At 43.8% G+C, this 12,242-nt stretch overlaps 1 protein-coding gene across 3 annotated transcripts in view; it reads left to right on the top strand.

Moving 5' to 3' along the window:
* SRP68 (signal recognition particle 68) overlaps positions 1 to 12,242 on the top strand; it is a 33,733-nt gene that overhangs the window by 5,622 nt on the left and 15,869 nt on the right. For all 3 annotated transcript variants that reach the window (NR_048541.2, NM_001260502.2, NM_014230.4), the window contains 5 exons: positions 2,725 to 2,920; positions 5,322 to 5,404; positions 5,677 to 5,786; positions 6,506 to 6,588; positions 9,353 to 9,493. Coding sequence is in view for 2 of the 3 variants with exons in the window: in NM_001260502.2 (NP_001247431.1) it covers positions 2,725 to 2,920; positions 5,322 to 5,404; positions 5,677 to 5,786; positions 6,506 to 6,588; positions 9,353 to 9,493 (613 nt within the window). In the remaining variant the exon portion in view is untranslated. The remainder of the gene's footprint in view (positions 1 to 2,724; positions 2,921 to 5,321; positions 5,405 to 5,676; positions 5,787 to 6,505; positions 6,589 to 9,352; positions 9,494 to 12,242) is intronic.

Genomic DNA, 12,242 nt, shown 5'->3' with positions numbered 1-12,242 from the left:
ATTACCCGGGCATGGTGGCAGGCGCCTGTAATCCCAGCTACTCAGGAGGCTGAGGCACAAGAATTACTTGAACCCGGGAGGCAGAGGTTGCAGTGAGCCAAGATCACACCATTGCACTTCAGCCTGGGCAACAAGAGTGACACTCCATCTCAAAAAAAAAAAAAGGAGGGGGTGAGATTCACTGTCTCAGCTTTGGAGCCCCCCTTCCTCTGTCTCTGTACAGGGAAGCTTCTTCTCCCTTCTTGCCTATTAAACTCTGCTTTTTAAAACCAAAAAAAAAAAAAAAAAACCTGTTGGGATGGCAAATGTTGAAGTCAGTGATTAGAATCTAATTGATTATTAGGTAAGGTTTCTAGAATATAAATTTCAATGTCTGAAACTAGATGCATATATCAATATATCTTAATGAAATTGAGTGGTTGAGTGGTGTGTTTTTTTTTTTTTTTGAGACGGAGTCTCACTCTGTTGCCCAGGTTGGAGTGCAGTGGTGTCGTCTCACCTCACTGCAACTTCCACCTCCCGGGTTCAAGCTTCTCCTGCCTCAGCCTCCGGAGTAGCTGGGATTACAGGCACGTGACACCACGCCCAGCTGAGTTTTGTATTTTTAGTAGAGACAGGGTTTCACCATGTTGGCCAGGCTTGTCTTGAACTCCTGACCTCAGGTGATCCACCCACCTCTTGCCTTCCAAAGTGCTGGGATTACAGACGTGAGCTACTGCGCCAGGCTGGTGTGTAAATTATTATAGAAGAGTCTTGTATTTCAGTGCTGAATACACCAGTGCTTGGCATTTGCTGAAGAATTTTTAGTCTGTCAGGCAACATGTAGTCAAGGCCCCCGGGTCTTCCTCACAGTTACGGGCCAAATTACGCTGCTGCCACCTTTTGTGTAAATGAAGTTTTATTGGAACCCAGCCACGCCCATTCACATAGGTATTGTTTAGAGCTGCTTTGTGCTACATCAGCAGAGTAGTTGTGACACACTAGATATAGAAGGAGAGGAGGCATGGTCCTTGAACCTCATTGACTTTCATCTTATTGGAAAATGTTGGTCAGTGCAAACCAGGGAATGCTACAGTAAAAGTGCAATGTTGTATATCATTTACTGTTCAGCATTCTAAAGCCTTGGAAAGGAGACTTGAGCTTGAAGGCTTTTGACAGGGAAGTCAGTAAGCCCACACAGAGGAGGCTTGACCTTGAAGGATTTGTGAGAGTGAAGAACATTCTGTGTCGGGGGAAGCAGCATGCCCTGGTATCCGTGCATGCAGTCTAGGAACTGTAAAGCTCTGGACACTTGTTAGCTGCTACTCAGGCAGTGAAAAGGTTGTGAGCTTGGTGTGTACAGTCAGAAAGCTAGAGCCTGGAGACCATAATAGGATGCAGCAGGATGTAGTGATTAAATCTCATGAGAACCAGTTGGGAGAAATCTGGACTCTCCCTTTTTTTTTTTTTTTTTTTTTTGAGACAGGGTCTCACTGTCACCCAGGCTGGAGTGTAGCAGTGGGATCATAGCTTACTGCAGCCTTGAACAACTCCTGTCTCACCCTCCTGAGTAGCTGGGACTATAGGCATGTACCACCATGCCCAGCTAACTTTTCTCTTTTTTTCTTTTGTAAAGATGGGATCTCGCTGTGCTGACCAGGCTGGTTTCAAACTCCTGGCCTCAAGTGATCCTCCCACCTCAGCCTCCCAGTGTACTGGGATTACAGACATGAGCCACTACACCGAGCCTGGACTATCTTATGATAGCAAGATCCTTTACTCTGAAGAGACAAGGTTAAGCTGAAGTTTAAGACAGATTGATCAAGGCAGTAAAGAAAGATTCACCAGTATAATAATAAAGTAGTTAACGACCTTACTGAGCACTTAGTAAGTGCCAGGTTCTGGTCTAAATGTGTTATTTGTATTACTACATGGGAGAGCGGTGCGCAGAAAGGTTAGTACTTTGCCCACAGTCACACAGCTAGTAAGCGGTGGCACTGGGATTCTGTCCCGGGCTCTGGAGCTCTTGTTTATCACCACTTTAATATACTGCCTCTTTTTTTTTTTTTTTTTTTTGAGATGGAGTCTTGCCCTGTTGCCCAAACGAGAGTATAGTGGCGTGATCTCAGCTCACTGCAACCTCCGCCTCCTCGGTTCAAGAGATACTCCTGCCTCAGCCTCCCAAGTAGCTGGGATTACAGGCGCATACCAACACACCCAGCTAATTTTTGTATTTTTAGTAGAGATGGGGTTTCACCATGTTGGCCAGGCTGATCTCGAACTCCTGACCTCAGGTGATATGCCTGGCTCAGCCTCCCAAAGTGCTGGGATTATAGGTGTGAACCACCGCACCTAGGCAATATACTGCCTCTTAAGGACTTTTCTAACTGGATTGAGATGAAGGAAGTGTTGATTCAAAAATGAGGCCAGATCGTGTGCCTAGACCGTGTCTGTTTGACAACATTCAGGAGGGGTAGGTCATGATTCTGGATTTACCGTGTTTGAGGTGGTAGAGGCTTTTCAATGAGATGTGTCTAGTAGATGATGAGAAACCTGAGATTGAGCCCAGGTTAGGAATAGAGATACTGGTTTAGAGTCATGGCTGAGAATATCAGAAGAGTTGTTTTGAGAGTGGCAAAGGCGGGAGAGTATAAAGAAAAGCCGAGAAGCCGAAGATTACACCTCAGAGAATATCTGGGTCTGTTGATGGCCTTTATTGTCTCCCCACTTCTGTCTCTGGTCTAGATACTTGCTTCTGGTTCTGATGGATGCTGAAAGAGCCTGGAGCTACGCCATGCAGCTGAAACAGGAAGCCAACACTGAACCCCGAAAACGGTTTCACTTGTTATCTCGCCTACGCAAAGCCGTGAAGCATGCAGAGGAATTGGAACGCTTGTGTGAGAGCAATCGCGTGGATGCCAAGACCAAATTAGAGGCTCAGGTTAGTACCTCAACATTCAGCTTGTTTATTGTGGAGATTAAAGACATTTTAAAAAGCTGCAGTTAAACAGAACAGAGTTTCTTAGTGTTAGAAAGTGACAGTCAGAAGAGGAAAAAAACTTTCCGAACTTGCTTTTAAGAGGAGAAGTTAGCATGTTTTGTTTATCAGCTCTTGATTTTTTTTATCCTTTTTTTAAAATTGGGCAACGCTTCATTCCATAAAATAGAATGAGTATTCCCAAGCTCTTGGTTTTTTATAACTAGCTGTAACTTTTTTTTTTTTTTTTTTCAGACAGAGTCTTGCTTTGTCGCCCAGGCTGGAGTGCAGTGGCGCGTTCTCAGCTCACTGCAACGTCTGCCTGTCAGGTTCAAGCAATTCTCCTGCCTCAGCCTCCCGAGTAGGTGGGATTATAGGCACGTGCCACCACGCCTGGCTAATTTTTTTATTTTTAGTAGAGACAGGGTTTCACTGTGTTGGCCAGGCTGGTCCCGAGCTCCTGACCTCGTGATCCACCCACCTGCCTTGACCTCCCAAAGTGCTGGGATTGCAAGCGTGAGCCACTGCACGTGGCCATCTAGCTGTAACTTTTTAAGAAAGGTCATGTTTTGATATATAGATGAAAGCTTACAATCTTGTACCTGGAAAGTTCACAAAGTAAACTTTTTTTTGGAAGTGAGTTTTTTAAAAAAGAGATGGTAGATATTGCAAGGTTTTATTCAACTTCTGATGCTTATGTTATAGCTCAGAAAATGGTTAAGTAAAATGCAGAAAACAAATTTCCTTCTTTTGAAGTTCTTTCCTGGGAAGTGAATAAATCATAATAAATTGCCTATGTATCACATTTTATTGGTTAAATACGTATTTCTCTTTAAAAATCAACCTGTGATTAATATATCTATATTCTTAGGCCGGGCGTGGTGGCTCACGCCTGTAATCCCAGCACTTTGGGAGGCCAAGGTGGGCAGATCACAAAGTCAGGAGATCGAGACCATCCTGGCTAACACGGTGAAACCCCATCTCTACTAAAAATACAAAAAATTAGCTGGGCGTAGTGGCGGACACCTGTAGTCCCAGCTACTCAGGAGGCAGAGGCAGGAGAATGGTGTGAACCCGGGAGGCGGAGCTTGCAGTGAGCTGAGATTGTGCCACTGCGCTCCAGCCTGGGGGACAGAGCAAGACTCCATCTCAAAAAAAATATATATATATATTTTATATATATATATATATATATATATATATATATATAAAATAAATATAATATATTGTATAATATACAATATATAATGTATATTATATATTATATAATGTATATTATATAATATATAATGTATATTATATAATATATAATGTATATTATATATTATATAATATATAATGTATATTATATATTATATAATGTATATTATATAATATATAATGTATATTATATAATATATAATGTATATTATATAATATATAATGTATATTATATATATATTATATATATATATCTCCATATTCTTTGTTTGGGTTTTTTGTTTGTTTTTTAGAAAGAGAGTCTCACTGTGTCCCAAGCTGGAGTGCACAGTCATGGCTCGCTGCAGTCATGAACTCCTGGGCTCATGCAGTCCTCCTGCCATGGCCTCCTGAGTAGTTGGGACTAGAGGTGCACACCACCACACCTGGCTAAATTTTTTTTTTTTTTTTTCTGAGACAGAGTCTCACTCTGTCGCCCAGATTGGAATGCAGTGGTGCAGTCTCAGCCCATTGCAACCTCTGCCTCCCAGTTTCAAGCAATTCTCCTGCCTCAGCCTCCCGAGTAGCTGGGATTACAGGCGCCTGCCGCCATGTCCAGCTAATTTTTTTGTATTTTTAGTAGAGACAGGTTTTCACCATGTTGGCCAGGCTGGTCCCCAACTCCTGACCTCAGGTGATCCGTTCACCTCGGCCTCCCAGTGTTGGGATTACAGGCATGAGCCACTGCGCCTGGCCACACCCGGGTAATTTTTTTTTAATTTTTGGTAGAGATGAGATCTTGCTGTGTTGCCCAGGCCGATCTTGAACTCTTGAGCTCAAGTAACCCTCCTGCCTCGGCCTCCCAAATTGCTAGGATTACAGGTGTGAGCCCCATGCCCAGCCCATATCCATGTTCTTTTTTTTCTTCTTTTTTTAAAATTTATTCTTATTTTTAAATTTTTTTGTAGAGGCAGGGTCTTGCTATATTGCCCTGGCTTGTCTTCAACTGTGGGTTCAAGTGATCCTCCCACCTGGGCCTCCCAAAGTGCTGGGATTACAGGTGTGAGCCACTGCACCTGGCCCATATCCATATTCTTGATATCAAAGTTAGAAGCCAATAAAGGAAGATTGAGTGGGAGCACTGGTTTGCTGTTGAAGCAGTTCCTCCTCTTCCATCTCCTCACAGGCTTACACAGCTTACCTCTCAGGAATGCTACGTTTTGAACATCAAGAATGGAAAGCTGCCATTGAGGCTTTTAACAAATGCAAGTAAGTCCTATAGTCCAAAGGCTGTGGCCAGTTTTAATTACAGATTGTCAAATTTAAGCTGCAGATCAGATAGTGGATTGTTTCTGTGAAAGTGAGGGTGACTTTTCTTTCCTATAGAAATGTTGATGATTCTCTTTCAACCTTAGAACATGCCAGTTATGGTAGTTGGTAGGAGAGCTTCAAAAGGCCATAATTTGTTTTTAGTCACTGTGTTCCCCATGAGTTTTTCTTATATAAGGCTGATGTAAAACCTGGCTTTTCTTTTCTCGCAGAACTATCTATGAGAAGCTAGCCAGTGCTTTCACAGAGGAGCAGGCTGTGCTGTATAACCAACGTGTGGAAGAGATTTCACCCAACATCCGCTATTGTGCATATAATATTGGTGAGAGCAGGGATCAAGGCATTATACTCAACTTGAACATTGATAGATGGCCTATTGGGAGCTCACTTCAGAGAGCCTAGAGAGTTGATGTAACTTTCTTCTTCGCTTGCCTCCATCATTGACCTGAGTTTTGGTTGATGGCAAAAGCAGAACTGTTGAAGCCAGCCCTGCCCAAAATTATAGAAGACGGTTCTGCTTCTGTGTCTGTCCTGCTGTGCTGTGTACCCCCGAAGAGCAGTCTTGAGTCTCCGGCTGAGTTCATTTTTTACTGTTTTAGAGCAGTTTTAGGTTCACAGCAAGGCTGAGAGAAAGATACAGAGATCCATGTAACCCCACCTCCCCACATCCATAGCCTCTCTCATTAGCATCTTCCCCCACCAGAGGGGTGCATTTGTTACAATTGATGGCCCTTTATAGACACACCATCATCTCCCAAAGTCCATAGTTTACATCAGGGTTCACGCTTGATGTTGTACATTCTATGGGTTTGGACAAATGTTTCATGATGTGTATTTACCATTATATACCATATGGAGTATTTTCATTGCCCCAGTCAATTTCATTCTTTATAAAAGACTTGTCTTCAGAGAACAGATTGTGCTGCAGATTCATTGAAGTAGCATGTGGAGGGGGAAGAGCTCTTTAAGTCTGAGTTGAATCTAGTGATTCTCAAGAAAACAGACCAGACCCTTGAAGATTTTCCTGTCTTTCTCTCTTAGGGGACCAGTCAGCCATCAATGAACTCATGCAGATGAGATTGAGGTCTGGGGGCACTGAGGGTCTCTTGGCTGAAAAATTGGAGGTAATCTAGTATGTACATTTTTGTGAAAAGTCTTTGGACAAAGTCCAGAAGGAGTAATTCATAATCCCCTAGGGATATTTGATATTAATATATGGATATTTATATCTGTATTAGCAAATATCTACATTTGCTAAAAGTTTGAACAAAAAACTTTTTCTTTTTTTTTTTTTTTTTTTTTTTTTGAGATGGAGTCTCGCTCTGTCACCCAGGCTGGAGTGCGGTGGCACGATCTCGGCTTACTGCAAGCTCCACCTCCCAGGTTCACGACATTCTCCTGCCTCAGCCTCCCAAGTAGCTGGGACTACAGCCGCCTGCCACCATGCCTGGCTAATTTTTTTATATTTGTAGTAGAGATGGGGTTTCACCGCCTTAGCCAGGATGGTCTCGATCTCCTGACCTCGAGATCCGCCCGCCTCAGCCTCCCAAAGTGCTGGGATTACAGGCATGAGCCACCGCGCCCGGCCCAAAAAACTTTTTGCAGTTAACACTTGAAGTATTCTTTTTTTTTTTTTTTTTTTGAGACAGTCTTACTCTGTCGCTCAGGCTAAAGTGCAGTGGCGTGATCTCAGCTCACTGCAAGTGATCTGCCCGCCTCGGCCTCCCAGCGTTCTGGGATTACAGGCATGAGCCACTGTTCTCGGCCAAGTATTCAATTGTTTAACCTCATTACATTTATTTTCTAAGCAAGTAATATAGAAAAAGCAAGAAATACAAAAGATCAGGGAAAAATATAAACCACATGGTTGCCATATTTATTTATTTATTTAGAGTCGGAGTCTTGCTCTATCGCCAGGCTGGAGTGCAATGGTGCAATCTTGGCTCACTGCAACCTCCACCTCCCAGGTTCAAGCGATTCCCCTGCCTCAACCTCCCAAGTAGCTGGGATTACAGGCGCCCGCCACCACGCCCGGCTAATTTTTGTATTTTAGTAGAGACGGGGTTTCACCATGTTGGCCAGGATAGTCTCAATCTCCTAACCTCGTGATCCACCTGCCTCTGCCTCCCAGAGTGCTGGGAGTATAGGCGTGAGCCACCGCGCCCGGCTTACTTATTATTATTTTTTTGAACAGCGTCTCTTTTGCCCAGGCCAGAGTGCAGTAGCTTGATTTTGACTCACTGCTGCCTTGATTTCCTGCTCTCAAGTGATCCTCCTGCCTCAGCCTCCTGAGTAGCTGGAACTACAGGTGAAGGTTACCACTCCTAGCTAACTTTTTTTTGTTTTTTGGTAGAGACAGAGTCTCACTGTGTTTCCCAGGCTGGTCTCATTCTCGAACTCCTGCGCTCAAGCAATCTGTTCGCCTTAGCCTCCCAAAGTGCTGGGATCACAGGGGATCACAGGCATGATCCACCTTATCCAGCCATACACCATCATCCTTTGATGGCTGCATGGTACTCCGTTGCATAGAAGTCTGTTTTATTTAACCATTCATTGTTCATTAAGTGGTAAACAGTATTACCATGAATGTCCATGTCCTCAGATTTTGCACACATTCTTGATTATTTCCTTAGGATAAATTCCTAAAACTGGAATTAAATGGTTTGGAAACTTGATACATACTGACAAATGTCTTTAAGTTTCTACTGATTAGCATTCCTGCTTGTAGCGTATACAGATATGCTTTTCTCCTTACATCCTTACCAAAACTTAGTGTTACTCTTTTTAACCTTCCGCTATGTCCTTTTAATATTTGAATTTCTGTAGCTAAAATATATGATACCAGGGAGAAATTTAAAACAAATAGAAATTGGTGGCCAGCAGGGTGGTTCACACCTGTAATCCTGGCACTGTGGGAGGCTGAGGTGAAAGGATAACTCGAGCCCAGGAGTTCAAGACCAGCCGGGGCAACACAGTGAGACCCCACCTCTACAAAAAAAATTTTTTTCAGAGGCTGGGCACAGTGGCTTATGTCTGTAATCCCAGCACTTTGGGAGGCCAAGGTGAATGGATCACCTGAGGTCAGGAGTTCGAGACCAGTCTGACCAACACGGAGAAACCCCGTCTGTACTAAAAATACAAAATTAGCTGGATGTGGTGGTGCAGGCCTCTAATCCCAGCTACTTGGGAGGTGGAGGTTGCAGTAAGCTGAGCTCATACCATTGCATTCCAGCCTGGGCAACAAGAGCAAAACTCCGTCTCAAAAAAAAAAAAAATTTTTTTTTTTCTTAAATTAGCCAGGCATGGTGACACATACCTGTAGTCCTAGCTGCTCGAGAGGCTGAGGCAAAAGGATCACTTGAGCCCAGGAGTTGGAGGTTGCAGTAAGCTGTCATTAGGCCACTGCACTCCAGCCTGGGCAACAGAGCAAGACCCTGTCTACTAAAAAAATTAAAGAGGCCTGGCACAGTGGCTCATGCTTGTAATCCCAGCACTTTGGGAGGCTGAGGCAAGTGGATCACTTGAGGCCAGGAGTTTGAGACCAGTCTGGCCAACGTGGTGAAACCTCGTCTCTACTAAAAATACAAAAATTAGTCGGGCATGGTGGCATGTGCCTGTAGTTCTAGCTTCTCAGGAGGCTAAGGCACAAGAATTCCTTGAACCTGGGAAGCAGAGGTTGCAGTGAGCCTAGATAGCGCCACTGCACTCCAGCCTGGGTGACAGAGCAAGACTGTCTCAAAAAAAATGAAAGAAATTGGTGTATACTCTACTTTCTATGGAGTATAATATGTTGGTTATACAAAGAGACAAATGATAGATTCCACTTATTTTCACCTCCATCACTCATATCCCCAGTTAAAGCTTTAACTTTTTTAAACTATTTTTCAGGCTTTGATCACTCAGACTCGAGCCAAACAGGCAGCTACCATGAGTGAAGTGGAGTGGAGAGGGAGAACGGTTCCAGTGAAGATTGACAAAGTGCGCATTTTCTTATTAGGACTGGCTGATAACGAAGCAGCTATTGTCCAGGTGAGGAGGAAGAACTTACTGTGCTGTCTTCTGTATGTGTCTGAAGGTTGTCCTGTGTGTTTAAGATGTAGTGGCTCGTTGGTATTCAGTTCTCATAAAACAAACTTTTAATGCTGTTTTGGATTTGGTAAGTACGGAGATGTGCCTTATTGAATAAAATTATTTTGAAAACTGAGTTTATAGAGGAATTCTTAATGTTTAGAGGGCAAAGAAATTGACAGCAACAGTCATCAACATAAAAATGGGAGGCATTAGAGGCTGGCTTAAAGTAAGGGGTCACATTTGGCCCAGCAGGTGGTGCAGCAGCTTAACTATTATGTCTCTGAAGTTTCTCTGACATGTTGTCGTAACCTCCTAGCCCTAAAGGGTTCACCTCTTAGTCCTGGGGCTTTGCAGGATAGCCTGGTTAAACCAGAATGTCTTGTTTTGTGTGCGGTGTACATGTAATATTCATGCAAAACTGTTATCACTTGATACTGCCTACTGACATAGTTACCTATTGGTGGGTACAAACAACCAAATGCGTCCTAAAAGATAAGACATCCTGGTGACCTTTGTATGACATAGACAGTGATGGGGGCACTTTTTAGAGCTTCTTTTCCACATGAGTTAAAGGACATCTTTAAAAAAACAGGCTGCTGACAGTCTACTGCCTCATCAGGGAACAGTGGCATTTCCGAAGACCTCACAGTTATCTTTTGCACCCTGAATAATTTGTGTATGGGTTGGTGGGGTGGTGTTTTGTTAATGTGTTGAGGAATTGGCTTAAGCATCTAAAATTTCAGCAACTTGCTCCAGAATGGCTACTATGGGTTGGAGGCAGCCTTCAACAGCTGAAGAGTTGATGTGTGTCCTTGTCTGTGTTTCGTATTGCCTGTCTCATATCCCTTTTATTTGCTTAAAGGACAGAAGACTAGAACAGTACTAGAAAGTTAATTTTTGCTTAAACTGAAAGGCTAAGGAACTTTTTTTGAGAGCATTCTATTGGCACTGTTGTATGGTGCTACCTCCACTGGACAACGGCTCTGGTAGCAACTATTCAGATTATGTGATTGGGTTAGTGCTTTGGTTTTAAAAGTGATCAATGCTGGAAGAAAGAAACTACTTCTGTCCTCAGTTCAGTGCCAGACAGCAGAGACAGTGGGGCAGGAATTCTGACTTGAAGAGGAGTTGGGGGAGAGAGATCCATAGGGGCAAGTTAAATGAGGGCTCTTTCAGAGTGGGGCTACAGACACGTACCAAATGAAGAACAGGAAAAGCTAGCATTTATTAAGTAATTTTGAAAAGTTACTGCTGGCACGGTGGCTCATGGCTATAATCCTAGTGCTTTGAGAAGCGGAGGAAGGCAGATCACTTGAGCTCAGGAGTTGGAGACCAGCCTGGGCATCATGGTGAAACCCCATCTCTACAAAAAAAAGTACCAAAAAATTTAGCTGGGCGTGGTGGCGTGCACCTGTAGTCCCAGCTACTTGGAGGCTGAGGCAAGAGGATCACTTGAGCCCGGGAGCTTGAGGCTGCAGTGAGCTGAAATCACACCACTATGCTGCAGCCTGGGTAACTGTGCAACTCTGTCTCCAAAAAAAAAAAAAAAAAAAGAAGAAAAAAAAGTTAATAACTTAAAGTTTAAATACACATTTTTTTTTTTTTTAAAGACAGAGTCTCTCTCTGTCACCCAGGCTGGAGTGCAGCGGTGCAATCTCTGCTCACTGCAAGCTCCACCTCCCAGGTTCACGCCATTCTCCTGCCTCAGCCTCCAGAGTAGCTGGGACTACAGGCACCCACCATCACACCCGGCTAATTTTTTTATTTTTAGTAGAGACGGGGTTTCACCATGTTAGCCAGGATGGTCTCAAACTCCTGCCCTCGTGATCCACCCGCCTCAGCCTCCCAAAGTGCTGGAATTACAGGCATCAGCCACTGCACCGGGCCCACATGATGTTTTAAGAAGATCAGCCTGGAAAGGGTGGGAGGGAGTGAGAGATAAAAGACTACACATTGGGTACCGTGTACACTGCTTGGGTGACAGGTGCACCAGAGTCTCAGAAATCACCATAGAAGAACTTATCCATGTAACCAGAAACCACCTGTTCCCCCAAAACTATTGAAATTTAATTTAATTTTTAAAAGATCAGCCTAGGCCGGGTGCGGTGGCTCACGCCTGTAATTCCAGCACTTTGGGAGGCCAAGGCTGGCGGATTACCTGAGATCAGGAGTTCGAAATGAGACCAGCCTGGCCAACATGGTGAAACCCCATCTCTACTAAAAGTACAAAAAAAAAATTAGCCGGGTGTGGTGGTAGACGTCTGTAATCCCAGCTACTCGGGAGGCTGAGGCAGGAGAATCACTTAAACCCGGGAGGCGGAGGTTGCAGTGAGCCGAGATTGCGCCATTGCACTCCAGCCTGGGGGATAAGAGCGAGACTTTGTCTCAAAAAAAAAAAGATCAGCCTATTGTCTCACTTCCTATATGCCTTCATTGATATGACATCATACTGAAAGGAAAGCACTGTTTCTTTTTAATGTTTTTTATATTCATGAGAGTTCTTATGTTTTTTTTTCCCTTGCTGGAATTATACTAAGATACAGTTCTGTATCCTGTTTTTATTAACGCGTTGTGCAATGGTGTGATCTCAGCTCACTGCAACCTCCGTGTCCCGGGTTCAAGTGATTCTCCTGCCTCAGCCTCCCAAGTAGCTGGGATTACAGGCGCATACCACCATGCCCAACTAATTTTTTGTATTTTTAGTAGG

This window comes from Homo sapiens, chromosome 17, assembly GCF_000001405.40.
Source record: "Homo sapiens chromosome 17, GRCh38.p14 Primary Assembly".
Taxonomy (NCBI): domain Eukaryota; kingdom Metazoa; phylum Chordata; class Mammalia; order Primates; family Hominidae; genus Homo; species Homo sapiens.
Note: the sequence above shows the minus strand (reverse complement) of the source record. Positions and strands in the feature narration are given on the sequence as shown.